The 25,145-nt window shown below is 40.6% G+C and overlaps 1 long non-coding RNA gene and 1 pseudogene across 3 annotated transcripts, besides 2 other annotated features; one reads left to right on the top strand and one right to left on the bottom strand.

Annotated features, from left to right (window-relative positions):
• The first annotated feature begins 493 nt into the window (after positions 1 to 493).
• LOC101928264 (uncharacterized) lies at positions 494 to 3,418 on the top strand. Of its 3 annotated transcripts, XR_922193.3 has the most exons (3): positions 494 to 649; positions 1,214 to 1,460; positions 3,120 to 3,418. It is a non-coding gene; the product is annotated as an uncharacterized LOC101928264 (long non-coding RNA). The 3 variants fall into 3 exon arrangements; XR_007066674.1 differs by having other exon boundaries at positions 494 to 1,460; positions 3,123 to 3,418; XR_007066673.1 differs by having other exon boundaries at positions 494 to 1,460.
• Positions 10,339 to 11,292: an enhancer, noted in NCBI's record as "NANOG-H3K27ac hESC enhancer chr1:159738373-159739326 (GRCh37/hg19 assembly coordinates)". NCBI's record gives its function as "activates a minimal SCP1, AML or CMV promoter by ChIP-STARR-seq in naive and primed H9 embryonic stem cells {active_cell/tissue: H9 hESC(naive and primed)}" and the evidence as "EXISTENCE:reporter gene assay evidence [ECO:0000049][PMID:30033119]".
• Positions 11,293 to 12,246: an enhancer, noted in NCBI's record as "NANOG-H3K27ac hESC enhancer chr1:159737419-159738372 (GRCh37/hg19 assembly coordinates)". NCBI's record gives its function as "activates a minimal SCP1, AML or CMV promoter by ChIP-STARR-seq in naive and primed H9 embryonic stem cells {active_cell/tissue: H9 hESC(naive and primed)}" and the evidence as "EXISTENCE:reporter gene assay evidence [ECO:0000049][PMID:30033119]".
• Positions 20,255 to 20,731, bottom strand: RPL27P2 (ribosomal protein L27 pseudogene 2; annotated as a pseudogene).

Below are 25,145 nucleotides of genomic sequence, written 5' to 3'. Positions count from 1 at the left end.
CAGACTAACTGTAATTATGAAAATAGTTAACCCTTATTGAATTTGTTTATGTACCAGGCCCTGTGCCAAGCGCTTTCTGGAAGAACCACATGTGAAAGGTATTTTTGTATCTTTTTTTGTACATGAATCATTGGAAGCTTAAAGAAGTTGGTTAACTTGGCCAAGGACACAGTGATCCAAGCCCAGGGCACTTGGCCATGAGGATGTATTATATTTCCTTCCCTTTGCACCCACCTATGACACACGTCTGACCATTTAAGCCTTTGGCTTCAGCAAGATGGAAAGCAATTTGTCTTCTCCTAAAGATCAAAGCCTGCTCTGACCCTGTGGGAAATACACTTACCATTTACCCAGACAATTACTTTCCCCAGGTTCCAGGAGGTGCCAAATCTCCCCTTTTTCTCCTTCCAGACAATCACAGCCCTCATTAAGCCCTTCCTGTTTGCACTCTCATTTCCTACATAAATTCCTATCAAGGTTACCAGCCCTCCCCAGTTTATTCCTTTCTCTCTTTCCCAGCCATGGCCTCTCAGCCACCAGTCACCTCTTCCCCCAACCCCCTGACCTCCCACTTCTCTTCTCAATTCAACTGCTCTTCAGGATTTCTGGTTGCACTACCTCTGGAGACAAGACTCTAGCATTTGTTCTTGTAAGTTAATCTTTTCTTAGTCCCTTTGCCTTGTTCTCCTTTCTTTGCTTCCCCTACTCACCAGGGAAGTTTCCACTTCACTCCCTACCCTCCTATGTGCTCCTTCTTTGCCTCCTTGATATCCAGCTCGAAGCCCATATTCTCCAGAAAGAGAAAATTTTTTTGGGAGACCGAGATCTTCCTCTTCCCTGAGTCCCCTACCAATGATTCTCTCCCTCTTGTGGGTTTCTGCAGGGCTAGCAGTGCATCCATCAAACCATTAGGGCCTCCATGTGGAGAGGCCAGTTGGCTCCCTTTTTAGGAAGCTCTGCCCTTCCCTTCCAGCAGACCCAGAGTGGAAAGGGCCCAGGGTCCCTGCCTTAAGCTTTGTCAAGGGTGCCATATGTCAAGGGTGCCATATGATGTTTTGTCTTGGGCCCAAGGGGCCTCAAACTGTAAGGAAAAACCCTCTCTGATGGTTTCCTGGCTCAGACTTCTGCAATTAACAGGACTTCTGCAACTAACCACCTTCTTGTCTGCCCACATACATGATACTGACCTTCTTTTATTCTCTCCTCTGTACAGAGTTACCTGACCCTCAGGAAGATTTAGGCTTTTTTTTTTTCTCCCATCTCACCTTGTATAAATATGTCTTCTCAGTATAGTAATGTCATTGGATTGAGGATACTTGTTTGCAGAGGAGGCAAGAATGCGTTGTTCCGTTTTTGAATTCCACACATCTAATATGGAGCCTGAGCCACAGGGCTCAAAATGTTAAGTAAACAAATGAATGGGAAATTAATAAGAAGAATGCATTGGCAAGACCGTGAAGGTACATTTCTAGGAGTGAATGTGAGTCTGTCGGACCATGTGGCAATGTGTATTTGTAATTCTTTTTAAATGCACAAGTTTGAGGACTGTGTTGAGTATTGGGTAGTATCTCTTTGAAGTGTATTTTTTACTTGACTGTGCTTTTAAATAAAGAATGGCTGTGTCAGTATGATCTTGGCTATGTCTAATTACTATTTTTGTGAAATGGGACAAATAAAGCTTGTTCTTTATAGAGCACTGCTCTTGTAGTGTGCATGTGTGTGATGGCTTGTGTATTTGAGTGCTTTGGAGGGGCCGTGTTCCTGGAGAACAATCTATTGACACTGATGGTGGGCTGAGTAGTAAGCTTAAGAAATTTCCCTGACTTCAAGGAATTTACAACATCCTTGCGGGGGATTTAGACTCTGATGTAATTATTCTCAGGACATATAATAAAGTACTAAATTGCTCATCAAAGACAATCAGATAATACATATTAAAAAGCTAATTGTGCAGTAAAAACAAGTGCAAAAGAAGTCAGTGGGGGAAAGATAAGCTTGAATTGGAACTACCAGAAATGTCTTATGAAGAGAGGGATTTTTCTTTCCATTTTGTCTACTGTCCAATGAAAAGCTCAGCAGACCCAGCAATCCCATTACTGGGTATATACCCAAAGGAATACAAGTCATTCTTTTATAAAGATACATGCACCATATGCTTATTGCAGCACATTCGCAATAGCAAAGACATGGAATCAACCTAAATGTCCATCAGTGATAAAGAAAATGTGGTACATATACACCATGGAATATGATACAGCCATAAAAAGCAATGAGATCATTCCCTTGCAGGGACATGGATGGAACTGGAAGCCATTATTCTCAGCAAACTAACACAGGAACAGAAAACCAAACACTGCATATTCTTACTTACAAGTGGGAGCTGAATGATGAGAACACATGGACACATGGGGATGGGGAACAACAAATGCTGGGGCCTGTCTGGGGTGGGGACTTGGGGAGGGAGAACATCAGGAAGAATAGCTAATGGATGCTGGGCTTAAAACCTAGGTGATGGGATGATCTGTGCAGCAAACCACCATGGCACACTTTTACGTATGTAACAAACCTGCACATTCTTCACATGTACCCCTGAACTTAAAAGTAAAAAATAAGGCTTAACAGAACATTTTTTAGGGCATCTCAGCTTCCCTTTTTCCAGCTGATAAGAATGTTTTGACTTAGTTCTTGTTCATATTGAGGCCCCAGTCCCCTGTTTGGCTTGATGCTAGTGGCAATTAGGGGTGCAATTGGAGTCAGAGAATTTCTTCCTCCAGGTAGGTCCCTGTGTTCCACCAATGCAAAGGATTGCTTGGGTTCAGGTTCCTGTGGCCCTTGGACTACAGTCAGAATTCTCAGTGTCCTCAGTGTTCTGATTTTTTAATGTCTAAACACACTTCACACCTAAGATCTGATAATCTGGAAACTGAACCTAAGAAGAAATGGTATGGCAGCTAGCTTCCAAGATGGTACCCAATGAGCCATTTCATGCCTGTGTAGTGCTTTTCCACATTGATAGGGCTGATTTTTGCAACCAGTAAGATATTGTGTAACTGGTGGTGTGTGACTTCCTAGGCTGCATCATGAAATACTTAATTTTTGCCTTGTTCTGTCTTGGAAAGAAGGCCTGCCATGGGAAGCTTTGGGAAGAAGCCAGCTGCCATGTTGTGAGAACTCTCAAGCAGCTGTGTGGAGAGATCCATGTGGTGAGGAACTGAAGCCTCCTACCCACCATCAAGTCAGTGGCTCACTACTGTTGCAGTGAATTCTCCAGCCCATGAAGACTTTAGATGATTTACCCAACATCTTGATTATAGCCTCATGGATTCCCTGAGCCAGAACAACCCAGCTAAGCCTCTCCTGAATTCCTTACCTACAGAAACTGTGAGATAATAAATATTTATTCTTTTAAGCCATCAAATTTTGGGTAATTTATTATGCAGTAATATGTAACTAATATAGATAAAAATATTCAGTTTGAAGGAAAGAAGAAAAATAACTTACAATAAACTCAAGAAATAAAATAAAATTAAAACAAAGGTTAATTCAAAAAGAAAGAATTATACTGTAAGCAGTTGTGGTCTAAGTGTGTGTATGCAGGAATGTTGTGATAGATCAATGCAAATTTTCCATATTTGGAGAACCATGCTGTCTGTGGGGGAACCAACCAGAGTAGTCTGGGCATGAGTTTTGTGTGTGTGTGGTGTTGGAGGTATAGGTTGCTGTGGTATTTGTATGGTTAGAGATGATATACAAATTATTTAATGATTGGTCATGGCACAAGAAACAAGCAATTAAAATGGAACCTCTACCAGAACCATTACCTGCAAACAAACAGTGAAGCTACCCTGGTGTCAGTTGGATGTGTGTCAGCTTTGGGTGTAGAGGCGCTGAAATGGTCTGGGGTGTGGTCAGATTACCTTGGACATTTTAATATAGGTCTTTCCACAAGATGGCACTGATAGCTTTTCCTTGTTTCTCTTTTTTTTGTCTTGTTGAAAAATTTGTGATTCGTATACTGTTGCAGAACATACCATAACTGAAATCTCCCAATTTACTAGTTGATTTCTTGTACTTTTGACAAGTCAATTGCCTTTATGGCATTTAAAATTATGGTGTTTTTTTCTTTTTTTTTAGATCATCCCAGGAGCACATTAAAAGTTTAAGTTGGGGTGTTGGGAATGCTGCCTCACATCAGATGCTATCATCATGGGAGCTGGAGATGGGGAGGGAGGTGGGGACTAGGCTTTGGTTTTTGAAAAGCCATTCAACAAAGGCAGGTGAGAGTGGAATCAAGAGGGAGCATTCAGTTAGGGAAGAGGCACTTCTGTGATCAAAACCATGTTGGTGGACTCTCTCACTTCTTCTGTTTACGCTGCCTCGAGCCTCAGCTGAGCCATAGCCTGGCTGGCACTTTGATATCAGCCTGAGGAGACCCTGAGCTTAGGTTCAGCTAACCTGTGGCCAACTTCTGACCTACAGAACTGACATCATAAATGGTGTTTCTTTAGCCATTATGTTTGTGGCAATTTGTTATGCAGCAATAGAAAACCAATATAGTTGCCTTTATTTACTTTATTTTCTTATCTTTAATATGCTCATCACAGCACTAAACCTTTGGAGTTTCTAAACTGGTGTATTGCTTTTTTTCTTTCCCCTTTGTTTTAAGTTTTTCGGTCTCTAAAACTATAGGCCGCATAGGTTCATTTTCCAGTGTAGATGCAACAAATATGATGAACCAATGGAACTCACAAACTGTCAGCATCTGGTTTCGTTTTGGCACCTTCTAAACTCCTGGCTGCTCCCTCCACCACCTTTAGACCAGTGCTTCTCAAGGTGTGATCCACAGTTGATGTCACATGGGAGCCTGTGATAGATGCGGAATCTCAGGCCCCCCGACCTGTGAGATCCTCAGGTGGCTCATAAGCACACCTATGACTAAGAAGCCCTGGTGTAAGACTTGTTTGTCCTGCAGCTCTGTTTTTCCTTTGGTCATCGGCAGCATCCAGAAAGTGGTCTGGTCACAGAGGTAGTGAGTTGATCTCCAGGTGTCTCTTCTCTGGAGCTGAGAAGTTTTAGCTGAGCAGGGATATGGGTGGAGGAGCTGATCAGCAGAGGGAGAGGCCTCAAAGGGGCCTAACTGGCCTGGGTGAAAACTTGAGGTCAATTAGAACCACCTAAGAATCCTGGATTAGAACAACACATTGGCTTTATCTACGGGTTAGAAAGATGTCCAAGAAAAACAGGCTTAATGTACATGTACCTTTCCTGTTTTTTGTTCCAAGGAAGGGCTTGGTTTCCAGATTTCCTTTCTAGAGGAATGCTTGAAACATTGCTTCCTACTCTACCTACCTTTACGTTAGTTTCCAGGCAAGGCAAAAAGTGCCCCAGTCATTATCCTCCAATTTAAATGTCTCTAGCCTCCCTGTAGCTTAGGGGAAAGAAGGCACCATGGACAACCTTTTTTCACACAAGCCCTCCTTTCCCCTCTGTAGCAGACCTTCTTCCCACCCAAATCCCATCCCCCAAAACCTCCTTAGGACCCATCATCTCTGTGGATCCCTGGACTGGCCTCCTGTATTCCGGCCTCTACACATTTCCCCTCTGTGAACCTGCAGAGACTTTTACAGAGCATGGATGTTACTTTTCCAGTTCTTCAATAACTCCTTATTGTCTTCAAGAACAAACCCCCAAGATTTATAGACTGGTATATCAAGCCCTCCAGGATGAGGCCTCTTGCTTTTTCCTTCAGCCTCACCTTACCTCATTCCTCTGCAGAAGTGTTTGTCTTGTCACAATGAACAATGTGTAGTCAGTCAGAGGAGCAGAGCTCTCCTATGTGCCTGTGCCCATGCTGTGCCTTTTTCCTGCCCTGCTCTTACCTTTGGCCTGCAGCAACATCTCAACTTCCTTAAGTTTCACTTTGGGAAAAGAGACCACTTTCTCTAGGAAGCTTTCCCTGCTCCAATTCATGTTTTGTGTCCCTCTTCTGAGCTTCTGCAGCATGTGTATTAGAATATTTATGACATTATATATTAAACACATATTAAAGCTTTTATTGCTATATTATAATATGTTTATTGTAAAAGCATTAAAACACATACACATGCAAAATGTTAAAAATCATCACCTATTACCTATTTATATTAGTTGGTGTTTGATTAGGAAAGGAGAAGCCATTCTATGCTCTCCTAGTATGAAAGGAAGCAATATGAGAAATTCAAGGTTTACATACCTGGCAGGTGGGCTGAGTAGCAAAGGTACCAGATGATCTGAGCTGGTAACATCTAAATGAGATTCTCTTTAAGATCTTGCCTGGAAGCAATTCCACTGTAAGTCTCAGGAACTTCCGGGAAATTCCCACCAATGATCTCAGACTCCAGCACTCATGTGGGGGGATCCCAAGAAATTCACCTGGACGCTGTTTTCAGCCTCTCATCTGCCTCTGCACTTACCTATCTCTGGCAAACGATGGTCTCTCTTTTCGTTCCAGATCTTACACAGGTGCCTCTCATTGGCACTCAAGATCTATGGGAAGGATTTTGGAAATGTTGCTCCCAGGATCTCCTCTCTGGTGCAGAGAGCTTAGTCATGAATGGCATTCATATTAAGTTTACGAGGAACAAGTCACCTAAAGATAACCACATTTTGGTGTACCACCTTTCACGTGTATTTGTGTGTGTGTATAATGCACATATAAAACTCTCTTTTTAGTGTGCTCTATGTCTATATACATGTCTCCCCTCTGGCTCCTTCGAGGTTTAATGAGCTCTCTTCTCTACTTTGTAGAGTAGGATTCCCAGCACTGGTTTGATGACACCCTGGAGTGTCTTCATTTATCTCAGGGGGTGACTTGAAATTCACAAAACAAGATTAATTTAAATTCATTTTCATTTAAAAAAGTAAACAGACATTATATAGTAATTACAGGTACAAGTGTGTGTGTTGAAATCAAACTAATAAATGCTTGCCTTACAGAGAAATTAAGAGGATGGGGGTGGGGTTGGAAGGGACTACAAAGGTGGTTTAGTCTGAATCTTTCCTAAAACATTTCTCCCCACCAATGACTTCCAGGTTGGTGTTTCCCCAAAGTAATCATGTTTCTCAAATTGGAAGTCTGGGCTGTTGGGAATGAAAGCTCCCAGTATGTGGGTCTATCTTCTGTGTATACTATGAGCCTGACATACAGTACACCCTCAGGAAACACATTTGGATTGACTGTGTGTAAGGGTGGGACATGGTGGTGGTGACTAGGGAGGGCACGTGGCACATGAGAGTTCAAGCTTTGTGGGGTTGGAGGCCATGACATATCAGCACAGATAGTGGCCTGGGTAGAAATCCCATTTGGATTCTAGGATAATATAGTCTCCCCAACAATCAAGGAGACAATCTAGGCTGAGATGTCATTGATAATTGCCTTTCTATTAACAATTTGTGCAAAGCATCAGAAAGTCAGATAGGTCAACTAACATCGAAGCCTGTGAGTATCAGTGACTTCCTACTGAGGATACAGTCCCAAGGACACAGATGTAGGAAAAAATTCTGAATTCTGCTTGAGCCCAGCGTCTTTGAAGCAATAGAGTTGGTGGTGGGTTCAAATCCTGGCTCTGCCATTTGAAACTATTTAACCCCGAATAAATTGCTTTACACCTCAGTGCCCTTCTCTATAAAGTAGAAATAAATCATAATGCCTACCTCAGAGAATTGTGACGATTAAATGAGTTAATACTATAAAGTGCTTTGAACAATGCTTGGCACAGTGAGGGATCAATAAACACTGGCTATTGTTATCATCAGCATCACAATAGGCTGCACATACTTATCAGGACCAATTGGTAGCAGGAGTTTCAAATAGAGAATGCATTACTGGCCCCATCTGGTCCCAAAAAATAGGTTCAGGAACCCCTCCTGTCCCCTACGTTGGGGTAGGAACATCATTTGCTAGAACTGGAAACTTAGGCAGAGGGGTAGTTGTATTACAAGCAAGCAAATAGACAAAACAGAACAGAACAAAATAAAAAAACCACCACATGCAAATTGAGTTCTCAGTGAATCCCCTTGTTACACTTTGATGGGATATTCTGCTTCATGGGAAAAAATAGTGCAAACATACCTGGATTCTTAGACTCAAAATTGGTAGCAAGGGAAGAATGTGTCCTTTAGTGCAGAGTTTTATGGTCTATCAATCCTTGAAAGGAAGATATCATTAATCATTAGTCAGTTTCAAAATGTGCTCATCATTATCCACTACTGTTGATGAAAAACCTCAACCTCTTCTGGAGAAAATGACTGTTAGGAAAAGAACCTTTGAGGCCATTAAAACACAGCCATGATTCTCTTTATTTTAGTGAAAAACTAAATATACCTATATCCTCAGATGGGAAAGACAAATCAAGTCTAGCGTCTAATCTTAGCAAAATTCAAATACTGGGTTTGAAATGCCAGTAATTCTATTTAATTCTTTTTCTCTTGTGCAAATACGGAGGAATCTACATTGTGTGATTATTCAGATGTTCAAACAGTTATTTAGGATGAGAAAATTTGCAAATTCACATGGAATTTATTTCTGGAATAGCTATGACCATAACAGAGACAAGGTTGATGAGTCAGTCATTTATTTGAAAATTATGATACCCTAAATCCCTTTGGTCAGAAAACATATTTGATTCACAAGAATATGGAAAAATGGTGAGAAAATGTTTTTTAATGGTTAGCTTTGCTCTATAGTCTTTTGGCTTTCCAAAACTATAATAGTTTCAGCCTTTCTGGTCCTTGTGTTTCTAAAACTTTCTACCTCTTTAATTCAATTAAACAAACATGCCAATTAAGTCCAAGTGAACAAAATATTGGGCTATATACTTGACTAAAGATGCAGATAAAAGCATGAAACTTACATTTTGGTTTTGGAGCAGATTGTTATAGCAATGACCTGAATGGATTACACCTCCTAGTATCCACACCCTTATACATGCCTCTCCTACATTTGTACTGGACTCAGCCTTGTACTTGCTTTGGCTAACGTGATATAAACAAATGTGGGCCAGACGCGGTGGCTCATGCCTGTAATTTCAGCACTTTGGGAGGCCAAGGCAGGTGGATCACTTGAGATCAGGAGTTTGAGACTAGCCTGACCAACATGGTGAAACCCCATCTCTACTAAAAATACAAAATTAGCCGGGCGTGATGGCACATGCCTGTAATCCCAGCTACTTGGGAGGCTGAGGCAGGAGAATTGCTTGAAACCGGGAGGCAGAGGTTGCAGTGAGCCAAGACTGTACCACTGCTCTCCAGCCTGGGCAACAAGAGTGAAACTCCATCTCAAAAAATAAAATAAAATAAAATAAAATAAAATAAAATAAAATAAAATAAAATAAAATGAAATAAAATAAAACAAATGTGATAGAAGCAGAGGTATGATAAGCACTTGCATGTTGGGTCTTGTCATCTTGGAACCCTAAGACCTTTATGCTATAAAGAAGCCCTGAATTATATACCGTATGGTAGGAGAGGCCAGTTGAGCCCAGTCCCCAAGCTGGATGCAGCTGCATGAATGATCCTAGGTATGACCAGTAGAAGAGTGACCCAGCTAACTCACAGAATCATGAGAAATAGAAATTGCTGTTAAGCCACTAAATTTTGGGGTCATTTACTTCATAGGAATGGAAAACTGATCTATATCTATATCTATATCTATCTCTCTCTATATATGTGTGTGTGTATATATATATATATATATGGTCATTTACTTCATAGGAATGGAAAACTGATTTTATATATATATATATATATATATATATATATATATATATATATATATATATATATATTTTTTTTTTTTTTTTTTTTTTTTGAGATGGAGTCTTGCTGTGGCCCAGGCTGAGATAGTGGCGCGATCCCAGCTCACTGCAACCTCCACTCTCCAGATTCAAGTGATTATCCGATTATCCTGCCTCAGCCTCCTGAGTAGCTGGGATTACAGGCGTCTGCCACCATGACTGGCTAATTTTTGTATTTTTATTAGAGACAGGGTTTTGTCATGTTGGCCAGGCTGGTCTCGAACTCCTGATCTCAGGTGATCCGCCTGCCTCGGCCTCCCAAAGTTCTGGGATTACAGTCGTGAGCCAACGTGCCCGGCCAGATATAAAAATTTATACCCAGAAATGGTATGTTGCTGTAACAAAAAGCTAAACTATGTGGCATTGGCTTTGGGGTTGAGTGGCTGGAAGAGGCAGTAGGTGCAGCGAGTAGATTATTAGTGGAGCCTGAGGACCTGAGAGGAAACTGCTACTGGAGGCTGATAAAGGGCAAATCACATTATATAGTAGTAGAATAACTGGCAACACTGTCATCTTCAGAAACTTGGAAGATAAAAAATGTACTTAATTAACTTGTAGATTTGGCTTAAGGAAGTTTCCATTTAGAATGCTGAAGGGGCCAATTAGCTTTTTAAAGGTGATAGATAATAGGGTATAGGAAGAGAGAGATGAACCAAAAAAAAAAAAAAATGAATTGCTCCATTTGCAAGCAGAATTTAAAGCAAATATGGAGTGCCCAGGATACGCTAGGTGAGAAATAAAACTGTCTCACATTTCCAGTCTCTCCTACTGCCAAAAGATTCTCAAAGTTAGAAATGTTCTCAGGGTACAAATTAAATCAAGGGTGTGGCTACAAGACTTTCTTAAGACCACAGAATGATTTAAAATAGTGACTATTAGATTCTCTCAGCTAGGCAAAGTGGCTTTTAAGAATTTTAAGGGCATTTTTTCCACGGCACATTGACATACTGAACCAAAGTAGAGGCCTATCTCAAAAATAGTTGTGGGTATAGCTTTTGTCTAGTCAAGTGGACTATCACCTGGCATATAGAAAGCCCACATAGAAAGGTATTGGATTAGTTTAGACTAACTAATGTACAGGAAGTTCAAAATAAATAGAAACAGGAGGTAAGATGAGAAAATCACTCAGCTGCACACACAGGCTATTTTTATTGAAAACATGGGTCATCTTGGAGAAAGCAGAGGCAACCACTTCCAGAGAGTAGAAGTAGGTAAACCAGGCTGTATTCAAGAACCGTTTTCTATACCTAGAGTAGAAGGTCCTGCAATATACTTATGTGAAGGGGTGGGTTGCCCCTCCACACCTGTGGGTGTTTCTCGTAAGGTGGAATGAGAGACTTGGAAAAGAAAAAGACACAGAGACAAAGTATAGAGAAAGAAATAAGGGGACCCGGGGAACCAGCGTTCAGCATATGGAGGATCTCGCCAGCCTCTGAGTTCCCTTAGTATTTATTGATCATTTGTGGGTGTTTCTCCGAGAGGGGGATGTGTCATGGTCACAAGACAATAGTGGGGAGAGGGTCAGCAGACAAACACGTGAACAAAGGTCTTTGTATCATAGACAAGGTAAAGGATTAAGTGCTGTGCTTTTAGATATGCATACACATAAACATCTCAATGCTTTACAAAGCAGTATTGCTGCCTGCATGTCCCACCTCCAGCCCTAAGGTGGTTTTTTCCTATCTCAGTAGATGGAACGTACAATCGGGTTTTATACCGAGACATTCCATTGCCCGGGGACGGGCAGGAGACAGATGCCTTCCTCTTGCCTCAACTGCAAGAGGCATGCCTTCCTCTCATACTAATCCTCCTCAGCACAGACCCTTTACGGGTGTCGGGCTGGGGGATGGTCAGGTCTTTCCCTTCCCATGAGGCCATATTTCAGACTTTCACATGGGGAGAAACCTTGGACAATACCTGGCTTTCCTAGGCAGAGGTCCCTGTGGCCTTCTGCAGTGTTTGTGTCCCTGGGTACTTGAGATTAGGGAGTGGTGATGACTCTTAAGGAGCATGCTGCCTACAAGCATTTGTTTAACAAAGCACATCTTGCACCGCCCTTAATCCATTTAACCCTGAGTTGACACAGCACATGTTTCAGAGAGCAGGGGGTTGGGGGTAAGGTCATAGATTAACAGAATCTCAAGGCAGAAGAATTTTTCTTAGTACAGAACAAAATGGAGTCTCCTATGTCTACTTCTTTCTACACAGACACAGTAACAATCTGATCTCTCCTGCTTTTCCCCACACTTATGACTGGATTTCAGAATTGCTATGGATCAGAAGGCTTTGTGGCTTTCTGTTCCTCCCCCTTTTAAATGGGAGTATCCATTGAGTGTACCATTCTCACAATTGTGTGATGAGTATGCATGGAGACAATAACTTTTTTTTTTTTTTAAATTCATGGGTTCCTGAATGAGGAGAAGCCACACCTGTGGAGCTGCATGAGGAACTGCACCCAAGTAGCCTCAGCCACACCTGGACCTGAGATAGATAAGGAGTCTGGACTTGTAGTTTGATGCCATGATTGGATGAGATCTTTGGTGGTTTTGGGATGAGTGATGCATTTTGCAATGGGAGGGATGTCAGTCATTGGGATCAGAGAGCCAGCTGCGGTACATTGTTACAATAATGATCCTCAGTGAATTTTGCCTCATGGTATTCATGTCCCTAGCCCCCTCCCATAATGATTTGGGGTTTGGCCAAAGGCTTGGGACATAAGCTTGTAAAATGCTAGCACTTTGAGGCTTGTTATCTTGGAAGCTGCCCTGAGATCACCATGTTGTAAAAAAGCTTGTTATGAAAGACCATGTGTAGAGAGAGGCCCTGTGGCCTCAAGCTCTACCTATCCCCAGGTAACCTACCAGCTAAATGCAGCTTTGTGAGTAGGCTCATGTAAGACCAATGGAAGAATGGCCCAAATGACTCACAGAATCATGATATATAATAAATAGTTGTTGTAAGCAGCTAACTTTATATTGGTTTATTATGCAATGGCAGACAACTGATACAGGTGTTCATTGTCAAGCATCCAGTTACATGTAGAAAATAGTAGAATGGAGGATACTATACATTTGGGTTATCTGATTTCTAAAAGTCATTGACACTTTCGGCAACTTGTGTAACAGATGAAGAGCCTATTCCAGAATAAACAGAATGTGTTACAGGGTTTTATAGCTACATGTAAAGATGCCGAGAAATAGATGACGTCCTTGATGAATGTGTGGCAGAATGAAATGTGAATGGGCTACAAAACAGGAAGATCTGGTGCGAATTCTTGTTCTACAATTTAATTTTAAGTAAGTTACCTAACTTCTCAGAGTCTTTTCATTTTTACCTGTGAAATGGGGCTTACACTGTCTATTTGATGGGGTTACTATCAGGATTGACTGAGATAACATGTAAAAAATGCTGTGCAATGCCTGGCACATAGTAGGTGTTTGCTACATGTTGATCCCTTTTACTTGTGTTCTTTCTCTTCACCATGTAATATTTTATTGAGGAGTCTACTAGGAATTTCCTCTTGAGGATCTATGAAACAGCAACTCCAGAATCAGGAAAACTCGGGGAACTGGGACTACGTTTGCATGGTCTGTAAACCAACTCCAAGGAGGGGCTGGAATTTCTGAATTGATTAGTCTTCAAGGTTCTCTCACATGTGCTTTCATGGGACTATCCAACACATTGTGAAGTGTCTTAGTTTTTGGAACACTCTTCCTCTCTCATATGTCCAAACACTTTGTCCTCACTCCCACTTCCTTAAGGTCCTGCTGAAGAATCTTTATATCTTAGAGATTGCTGTTAAAATATGAATTTTAGGGTCAGTCATGTGTCTGTGGCATAACACAAAGAATAGAATGGAAGGAAAAAGCATTCCCTTTTGTGAGGAAATGATGATCTTACTTCCGGGTCCTGGGTGTGGCCCACCCACCCAAAGGCAATGTTTAGTCACTCAGATGGGATGATCTCAAAAGACTGAGCAGAGGACCTGGCTGGGCACTGCACTCAGGACACTCCTGGAACAAAGTGCCAGAAAACTTTCCAGCCAGCTGGAAGGGCACCCACTTGCCAATGGTGTGTCTACTTCAGTCCAGTACCTGTTTGAACTATGCTGGCCTCTAGGATAGTTTGTGATAGCAAGAAATGATCAGTATGTACATTGGGGAAAGCGTTAATTAACCTGAAACATAAAGTGCAAGAAAAAGAAGGAAAGCTGGAGATCTTCCGGGACAGAGAAGGAGAAAATTCTCTTAGGTGATTATTTCTTACAGAAGGGAATTTGAGAAAGGAATTCATCCACTATAGAGGTCCTCGAAATCTACATGACCCACAGAAGCCTGGCTGGGACACTTTGTCAACCTATTCCTTCACATATATTTCTAATCTACTTGCTGATTTTCAGGCTGGTCTTGGAATGTAAGTCTTTGGTTTCCTTCTGTTGGATTTCTTTTTGACTTTCCGTTTCTTAATGACTTGAACAAATCAGGCACTGGGCTAGGTATTTTATATGTATTTTTCTTTCTTTTTTTTTTTGTTTTTTTGAGACAGAGTCTCGCTCTGTCGCCCAGGTTGGAGTGCAGTGGCGCAGTCTTGGCTCATTGCAAGCTCCGCGTCCCTGGTTCACGCCATTCTCCTGCCTCAGCCTCCCGAGTAGCTGGGACTACAGGCGCCCGCCACCACGCCCAGCTAATTTTTTGTATTTTTAGTAGAGACGGGGTTTCACCGTGTTAGCCAGGATGGTCTCGATCTCCTGACCTCGTGATCCACCTGCCTCGGCCTCCCAAAGTGCTGGGATTACAGGCGTGAGCCACCACGCCCAGCCGTATTTTATATGTATTTTTCTATTTAATCCTTATGACTACTCTACATTGGAAATATTATTTCCTTCACTTTGTAAATGGTTTTGACTTGGATATTTAAAAGCAGATTTGCCTGACTTTAAGAATTTTGTTCACTCACTGCACTGCAGTGGTAAGGGCCAGGGTAGCTTCAGAGACTTAACTCCAGAACAACTTCACCTATCTTTGGGATAATAAGTCTATTTGCTGATTGCATCCTGATATTACTTCTCATGTACTGCTGTTGATTACAAAGACTTCTTACCACCCAAACTACTCAAGTTCTGCTCTAATTGAGAGCTAATTTGTTTACTCTTATTAATTTTGTCTGGTTAAACTTTCCTGCCCCTTGTTTCTTTTTAAAAGGACAATATTGCTCTATGAAATCATGGAGTCATTATTTTGGCAGACTTTTCATTTAAACGTTTTTCATAAATTATAGTTCTCATTTTTTTCCTTAATATTTCCTGAGGAACAGGTTGGATTTAGGTATAATATTCCATTATTAATCATGTTATACCCTTTATGATGTGCTGGAAAAATCTTTCAGGAATAACTTTAAGATTGCTTATATATTTAATTGATCTTTCTTTGGTCTCTGGGCATTAAAAACTAGTAATGAATTCGTGTATCATCAGGGCTTATAAAGAAACAGTGCACACGAATCGAGTAACTAAGCAGATTTTAATGAAAGGAACTATATACAGGCCAGGTGCAGTGGCTCACGCTTATAATCCCAGCACTTTGGGAGGCCGAGACGGGCAGATCACTTGAGGTCAGGGGTTCGAGACCAACCTGGCCAACATGTGAAACTCCGTCTCTACTAAAAGTATTAATACAAAAATTAGCCACGTATGGTGGTGTGTGCCTGTAATCCCAGCTCCTCGGGAGGCTGAGGCATGAGAATCAGTTGAATCTGGGAGGCGGGAGGTTGCAGTGAGTCGATATCGCACCACTGCACTCCAGCCTGGGCGACAGAGACAGACTCCTTCTAAAAAGAAAAAAATAAAATAATAAAAAAGGAAAGAAAAAGAAAAAAGGAACTAGATACAAAGGTACAGGCAGAGTTGAAGAAAACCTACGAGAGGTGGGTATAGTTCCTTAGGCTAGCAATAATAGCAGGGAGCCACTGCAATTCATGGGTGAAAAATCAAAGGAAGTGAGGGGTTACTGGGATTTGGAGAGTGGGGCCATATGAAGAGATCTGCTTGACATCAGCATTTGGGTGAGGAATGCAGCCAACCCATGGTGGCCCAGTAGGGAGGAAGCTGGGGGTTAAATTCTCTAACTTCCTATTCTCCCAGTCTCTAATCTCCTGTGGGTGCCTCCCGTTGGCTGAACTCCTTTAGAAGGGCTAAGTAGAGGGAGCCCATTGATGCAGCCCATTCAAGTCAGCCTCCTGAGGCACAGAGCAGGGTAAAAGGTGGAGAGAGGGTGGGGAGGGTGAAGGAGAAGATATGTAATGCAGCTGGGCTGTAAGATCTGGTAACTGATGTAGAGTCTGAACTTTATACCACAAAAAGTGTTCCTGAGAATGGTTTCCTGACAGATCAGATAATTCCAGTCTTTAAAAAATGAAACTGTGTTCTGCCTCTGCTTCCTCCAACTCTTCTTTTTAATTTGTATCTTAATAATTTGAAACAACTTGTGCATGATCTAGCTGCATATACCCTTATTATAAAAAGTACAAAAATAACTACTGTCTATGCTAGTGATGTAATTTTATTGTCACTAACAAGAAATGGCCTCTTTATCTTACTGGAAAATAGAGTGGCTTGAATTCAACTTTTCTATATTCAAAATCATCATTTTTGGCAGATAGTATTTGTAATTTAATTGGCTTATATCTAAAGATTATATATAGCTGGCCGACTCTTTCAGCTACTTAAGGGTACGTTTTGCAACTATTTTTCTCTGGTGGTTTCAGTAGAAAGACGCTACTTAAAAGTAGATATTCCTTGGGCATGTTATTGACATTTGTTTGTTTATTTCTGAGGCTTGGGAGATTAGTAAAATCTATTTCATTTTTTTTTCAGATACAAGTCGTAGCATCCATGCCTACTCAGTAAATGTTGAATTAAAGAGTGAGGGAATGAACTTTGTAGCTTTGATTTTATCTTTCTTTCCCCCAAATGTTTTGAGAAAACAGTGTGTGAAAGACTGGAGGAAAATTTTGCCCTTACTGACAGGTCCTCCACTGAAAACCCCCACATGGAGGCAAGGTGGCCAGCCATTTGGCTCTTGGTTAGGAGCCTTCATTTTTCGACTTCCTTTTTTTATTTTTATTTTTTAAATTTTTTTTTTTTTTTACATATTTCTTTTTTTTTAAATTATACTTTAAGTTTTAGGGTACATGTGCACATTGTGCAGGTTAGTTACATATGTATACATGTGCCATGCTGGTGCACTGCACCCACTAACTCGTCATCTAGCATTAGGTATATCTCCCAATGCTATCCCTCCCCTCTCCCCCCGCCCAACAACAGTCCCCAGAGTGTGATATTCCCCTTCCTGTGTCCTTGTGATCTCATTGTTCAATTCCCACCTATGAGTGAGAATATGCAGTGTTTGGTTTTTTATTCTTGCGATAGTTTACTGAGAATGATGATTTCCAATTTCATCCATGTCCCTACAAAGGACATGAACTCATCATTTTTTATGGCTGCATAGTATTCCATGGTGTATATGTGCCACATTTTCTTAATCCAGTCTATCATTGTTGGACATTTGGGTTGGTTCCAAGTCTTTGCTATTGTGAATAATGTCACAATAAACATACGTGTGCATGTGTCTTTATAGCAGCATGATTTATAGTCCTTTGGGTATATACCCAGTAATGGGATGGCTGGGTCAAATGGTATTTCTAGTTCTAGATCCCTGAGGAATTGCCACACTGACTTCCACAATGGTTGAACTAGTTTACAGTCCCACCAACAGTGTAAAAGTGTTCCTATTTCTCCACATCCTCTCCAGCACCTGTTGTTTCCTGACTTTTTAATGATTGCCATTCTAACAGGTGTGAGATGGTATCTCATTGTGGTTTTGATTTGCATTTCTCTGATGGCCAGTGATGATGAGCATTTTTTCATGTGTTTGTTGGCTGCATAAATGTCTTCTTTTGAGAAGTGTCTGTTCATGTCCTTCGCCCACTTTTTGATGGGGTTGTTTGTTTTTTTCTTGTAAATTTGTTTGAGTTCATTGTAGATTCTGGATATTAGCCCTTTGTCAGATGAGTAGGTTGCGAAAATTTTCTCCCATTTTGTAGGTTGCCTGTTCACTCTGATGGTAGTTTCTTTTGCTGTGCAGAAGCTCTTTAGTTTAATTAGATCCCATTTGTCAATTTTGTCTTTTGTTGCCATTGCTTTTGGTGTTTTAGACATGAAGTCCTTGCCCATGCCTATGTCCTGAATGGTAATGTCTAGGTTTTCTTCTAGGGTTTTTATGGTTTTAGGTCTAATGTTTAAGTCTTTAATCCATCTTGAATTGATTTTTGTATAAGGTGTAAGGAAGGGATCCAGTTTCAGCTTTCTACATATGGCTAGCCAGTTTTCCCAGCACCATTTATTAAATAGGGAATCCTTTCCCCATTGCTTGTTTTTCTCAGGTTTGTCAAAGATCAGATAGTTGTAGATAAGCAGAGTTATTTCTGAGGGCTCTGTTCTGTTTCATTGATCTATATCTCTGTTTTGGTACCAGTACCATGCTGTTTTGGTTACTGTAGCCTTGTAGTAATGACTACTGGGTACATAACGAAATGAAGGCAGAAATAAAGATGTTCTTTGAAACCAACGAGAACAAAGACACAACATACCAGAATCTCTGGGACGCATTCAAAGCAGTGTGTAGAGGGAAATTTATAGCACTAAATGCCCACAAGAGAAAGCAGGAAAGATCCAAAGTTGACACCCTAACATCACAATTAAAAGAACTAGGAAAGGAAGAGCAAACACATTCAAAAGCTGGCAGAAGGCAAGAAATAACTAAGATCAGAGCAGAACTGAAGGAAATAGAGACACAAAAAACCCTTCAAAAAATTAATGAATCCAGGAGCTGGTTTTTTGAAAGGATCAACAAAATTGATAAACTGCTAGCAAGACTAATAAAGAAAAAAAGAGAGAAGAATCAAATAGACGCAATAAAAAATGATAAAGGGCATATCACCACCGATCCCACAGAAATACAAACTACCATCAGAGAATACTACAAACACCTCTATGCAAATAAACTAGAAAATCTAGAAGAAATGGATAAATTCCTCGACACATACACTCTCCCAAGACTAAACCAGGAAGAAGTTGAATCTCTGAATAGACCAATAACAGGATCTGAAATTGTGGCAATAATCAATACCTTACCAACCAAAAAGAGTCCAGGACCAGATGGATTCACAGTCGAATTCTACCAGAGGTACAAGGAGGAACTGGTACCATTCCTTCTGAAACTATTCCAATCAATAGAAAAAGAGGGAATCCTCCCTAACTCATTTTATAAGGCCAGCATCATTGTGATACCAAAGCAGGGCAGAGACACAACCAAAAAAGAGAATTTTAGACCAATATCCTTGATGAACATTGATGCACAAATCCTCAATAAAATACTGGCAAACCGAATCCAGCAGCACATCAAAAAGCTTATCCACCATGATCAAGTGGGCTTCATCCCTGGGATGCAAGGCTGGTTCAATATACACAAATCAATAAATGTAATCCAGCATATAAACAGAACCAAAGACAAAAACCACATGATTATCTCAATAGATGCAGAAAAAGCCTTTGACAAAATTCAACAACCCTTCATGCTAAAAACTCTCAATAAATTAGGTATTGATGGGACGTATTTCAAAATAATAAGAGCTATCTATGACAAACACACAGCCAATATCATACTGAATGGGCAAAAACCGGAAGCATTCCCTTTGAAAACTGGCACAAGACAGGGATGCCCTCTCTCACCACTCCTATTCAACATAGTGTTGGAAGTTCTGGCCAGGGCAATTAGGCAGGAGAAGGAAATAAAGGGTATTCAATTAGGAAAAGAGGAAGTCAAATTGTCCCTGTTTGCAGACGACATGATTGTATATCTAGAAAACCCCATTGTCTCAGCCCAAAATCTCCTTAAGCTGATAAGCAACTTCAGCAAAGTCTCAGGATACAAAATCAATGTACAAAAATCACAAGCATTCTTATACACCAACAACAGACAAACAGAGAGCCAAATCATGAGTGAACTCCCATTCACAATTGCTTCAGAGAGAATAAAATACCTAGGAATCCAACTTACAAGGGATGTGAAGGACCTCTTCAAGGAGAACTACAAACCACTGCTCAAGGAGATAAAAGAGGATACAAACAAATGGAAGAACATTCCATGCTCATGGGTAGGAAGAATCAATATCGTGAAAATGGCCATACTGCCCAAGGTAATTTACAGATTCAATGCCATCCCCATCAAGCTACCAATGCCTTTCTTCACAGAATTGGAAAAAACTACTTTAAAGTTCATATGGAACCAAAAAAGAGCCTGCATTGCCAAGTCAATCCTAAGCCAAAAGAACAAAGCTGGAGGCATCACACTACCTGACTTATTTTTTAAATTTTTAATGACCAAAACAAAACATCTAAAACCACAGCTTTTGGAAGAGCCACTTGTTCTTGCCCAGGTTTTACCTCTCTTTGATTTTGACTTTGGCCTTCCTTTGGGCCTTGTGTTTAAGAGCAGGGTCTCTGAAGACATCCTTGTTGATGACAGTTTTGTCCAAGGGGGTATCCACAGAGTGCCTTGTGGGCATGAGATGATTGTAGTTATAAACTTTCACAAAAGACTTGGTCTTTGACCTCTGGGTGCTCTTCTTGCCCATGGCAGCTGTCACCTTGCAAGGATAACAGTCAATTCCAGCCACCAGAGAACAGCTGACGGGGCATTCTAAGGTGCCATCATCAATGTTCTTCACGATGATGGTTTTGCATCCAGAGTAGCATCCGGTGTAGTGTCTGGCCTGGACCAACACTACTTTCCCAGGTTTTATGAACTTGCCCATTTTGACAGCAACCACCCAGGCCTACCTTCGTCTTATTTAAGGGAAGTGAATCTACCTCCTACTTGGTTGATTTTTAAGGCATATGGACTATCTTTTTTTAGCAACACAGATTTTATGCAGTTCATAGTCTTGTCAAATGTTACAGTTTGGACATCTCTTTTGCCCAATTCCTACCAAAAGCTTAATTAGAAGACTTAGCAGTTCTAATTGACAGCTGAATATATAGTTTTTTTTTCTTTTTAGAGACAAGGTCTTGCTCCGTCACCAGGTTGGAGTGCAGTGACATGATCGTAGCTCACTGTAACCTTGAATTTGTGGGCTCAAGTAATGCTCCCTACACCTCAGCCTCTATTAAGGATATATTGTTCTTTCATTATCCTAGGTAACTGTTGCTCGATAGAACTTTCTGCATTGATGGAAATGTTCTGTAATTGTGTGTCCGTCGTTAATAGTCACTAGCCATGTGTGGCTATTGAGCATTTGAAATGTGGCTGTTAAAACAAAATAATGGTACTGAAAATGTTTTATTTAATTTTAATGAAGTTTAAATAGCCACTCACGCCAGTGGCTTCCATATTGAACAGCACAACTCTGTAATTCTAAATTTTATCCCTGAATCAAGCTGAAGTATTTCTTCTTTGGCTTTCCAAAGAATAGCATTTATTGAATAGCAAATTTCTATTTTTTCCTTAATCATGGTTTTAAAACATATTCTCACTTTCTTGGATCTCACTCCCGCATCAAAAGATGGAGACTAAAATACCCTTCCCTTGGATATAGGTTGGTCTTCGTGGCTTGATTCTAGCAAATAGGATGTGTTAGAAGTGATACTATGTGATTTTTGAGGCTAGCTCATAAAAGGTGCTAAAGTTGGCTTGGTTGTCTCCCTCTCAGCACTTGAGCTTTCATGTAAGAGTTCTAGCTGCTCTAACACTGCCATGCTGGAGTCACATGGAGGGACCTCGAGAGGTATCTGAAGAGGACCAACTGTTCTAGCCTCCAGCTGTTTGAATCTTCCTAACTTAGGCTCCAGGTTACTTCGGACCCAGTCACTTTGTGACTACATTTCTGTAAGAGACTGTAAGTGAGAATTGCTTAGCTTAGCCCCTCTATCCCCAGTAAGATAATAATATACAATGCTGTCACTTTAAGCCACTATTTTGGTGTTGTGCAGCGATAGATAACTGGAACACTCTTGTAAAAGAATACTGCAGGAAATAGTTCTATGAAACTTTCTGGCATATTCATTGTTGGGATTTTTGAGTACAAAGTTTACTACATCAATTTCTTTTGAATTTAGTAACAGGAAAATCTGTATTTTCTTGAGCAATCAATAGACTTTTACTTTAATACATTTTTGCTTTGGTTGCTATGAAGCTCAAAGCTAAATTTATGTCCTACTTCGTAAGTAAATAGGACCATCAATAATTTATTTCTGTGTGTTTGCTTTTTATTTGGCCTTATCTTACTGTTTTTTAAAAATTTACCTTTTTCCTTTTTAAAGACCTTAATACAGTATATATTTTGTCAAGCCATTTCCAAAAGTGAATGCAAATAATATTGGGCTTTTGCTGAACCAGTGTGAGCTGTAAGATCATCCAGTAGATTAGCAATGATGGCTGAGAGAGCTCTGGAATTTTATAACTCTTCAATGACCTTATTTTATAGGAAGACAATAAGGCTCTGAAAACTGAAGTGACTGCTGAAGTATACACAGCTAGTGAGCAGCAAAATCTCAGCCCAGGAGAAGCTGTGTCTTACTCCTCATTCACCCATATAGCACCCATTGGTCAGATACTGATTCTTTATTAACTGTCAGCTCTGGGTCTGGTTACTTGAGGATGGGATGGTGGTACAAAGATAAATAAGAGTCAGCAGAGGAATTGAATCTCCAGATTATGCCTGGTGGGACATAGTACATGTGTTTAAATATAAAGTAATATGTAACATAAAAGCGGCACAAGTGAAGCTTTTTGAATGTTCAGAGGAATGAGAGATCACTTCCAACTGGGCAATCACAAAAGCTTCAGGAAAAAGTGATGTTGAGTTAGGCCCGGAAGGATGGACATGCTTCACACGTGCAGGTATTAGGAGAGATGATGGGGTGAAGCAAGAGAAGATTAGCTGCCGTGAGTTGAATACTGGGAATTTTAGGCCCTGTGGCATTTGGTGGGGATGATATTTTGAGCAGGGGGATTGTGCCACATCTCAAATTACACCAGGCAAGTAGTTGCTTACTATTCTGTTTATGGGATCAACGCTGCCAAGGGCATGCTACCTGCAAATGTGGATGGGAAGGATGAGAGAGAGAGAGAGAGAGAGAGATAGAGAGAGAGAGAGAGAGAAAGAATGCTAACTGAAGCTTCTACATAGCTGACTGCTCAGAAAACCCAACACATGGAGCTATGTTCTGAAGTAATTGCCTAAAACCTTTATCAACAAATAGTTTTTAGACTTTGGTATGGAGGAGAAAATTCTGGAAGAGAATCTACAACATTTCACAACACTGCAAACAGGGGGCATTTCAGGACATCCCTGAGGAACACAGCAGCATGCTCAACTTCCTCTTAGATGGCCTTGCATTTCTTACAGCCTCCTTGTGACCACAGGAGCCTGGTGATCCATGGAGCAGTAAGCCCAGCAAAGCCTAAGAGTGGGGCTCTGGAGGGACAGGTCTGTTGTTCTTTGTAGAGATTGATGGATTTGTTACAATTAGTAATAGGTGGCTTTCCTGAAATTCTGCAATTACCTCTTGAAATAGGGAAACCTCTGATCACATGGGTAGGATATTGCTAAAGAGGTGAAAACTTACTTGGGCCATTTAAACAGGTTCCTGCCAGTTTCCTATAAATGAAAGTTTAAATAATCCTCCTTTCTCAGTTAGGAAGAAAATCAATATCTGATTACAGCAGAATTCAATGCCATTCTGCCTGATTCTTCTATGCTTAGAAAACCCACAGAAGGCAGGAGCTCAGACGGATGAACCATGGTGTCCCGACTCAATGCAACTTCTCTTCTGTTTTCCATAGAGTGTTTCCAACAGTGTAAATCAACAATAATCATAGTTGCTATGTTAGTGTTGTACAATGCTGTACAGGCGATAACTTACTTTCACAAACATGTCTTATCTAATCTTCATAAAAATTCATTGAGGTGAATATTGCTCTCCTACTTTTACGGAGGAGAAAACTGAGGCACAGGTAACTAAAGCAAATTATCCTAGATCTTTGGATGAGCATGTATTAGTGATTAGTGTTTATGTCTGGTCTTAGGAGTAGAAATTCATTTGTGCTCTTGAGCAAGGTCCAAAGATGAGAGGCAGGATTGGGAACTGTAGGTGTAAGGGTGAGTTCAGAGCTGCGTTGGGCAAACATCTGATCATCTAGGGATAGGCTGTCCCCACACAGGGACAATCTTTTACCAGTCTTCTCTCTGCTAGGGAAGGTAATCAGTGGCAGAGACCCTCACATCTGGGAGTGACTAAAGTTATATGTTCAAATCTTTCATTTTTTTTTCAAATGAGGAAGCTGAGGTTGAGTGAAGTTAGGTGACTTGCAAAGACACACAACTAACTGGCGATGAAAATGGGATCATTACCCAGTTTTCTACTCTTACACTGGAATTTCTGCCACTGCACCTAGATGCTCTTCCTGCTTTACTCTCTCTTTTGATTAGATAGAAGTGTGTTTACAACATAAAGTGATTGGGCATTTGTTAGGTAAGTGGAATAAAAGTAACAGTTGCTACTATTCATTGAACACCTATGATGTGCTACAGTGTGCTAGATACTTATCATGCATAATTTTTCATCTTCGCAAGAACTCTGCAAAGTCTCTCTCTCTCAATGTGTATATATATACATTGTATAATATATACATTGTATACATATATACAATATATACAATGTATATATACATATACTGTATACATATATACACATTGTATACATATACACATATATATACATTGTATATATACACAATATATACATACATATACATATATATGTATATATACATATATACATTGTATACATATATACAATATATACAATGTATAATATATATAGTATATGTATATGTACAATGTGTGTATATATATATATAGAGAGAGAGAGAGAGACAGACAGAGTCTCACTGGAGTGCAGTGGCATGATCTTGGCTCACTGTAACCTCCATCTCCTGGGTTCAAGCTATTCTCCTGCCTCAGCCTCCCAAGTAGCTGAGATTACAGGCGCCCCCCACCATGCCCAGCTAATTTTTTTTTTTTGTACTTTTAGTAGAGATGGGGTTTCACCATGTTGGCCAGGCTGGTTTCGAATTCCTGACGTCAAGTGATCTGCCCGCCTTGGCTTCCCAAAGTGCTGGGATTACAGGCATGAGCCACCGCGCCTGGCCCTGCAAAGTCTGTATTTTTATCTCTGTGAGGATACTGGGACCG

The sequence above is a fragment of the Homo sapiens genome, chromosome 1, assembly GCF_000001405.40.
Source record: "Homo sapiens chromosome 1, GRCh38.p14 Primary Assembly".
Classification (NCBI taxonomy): domain Eukaryota; kingdom Metazoa; phylum Chordata; class Mammalia; order Primates; family Hominidae; genus Homo; species Homo sapiens.
Note: the sequence above shows the minus strand (reverse complement) of the source record. Positions and strands in the feature narration are given on the sequence as shown.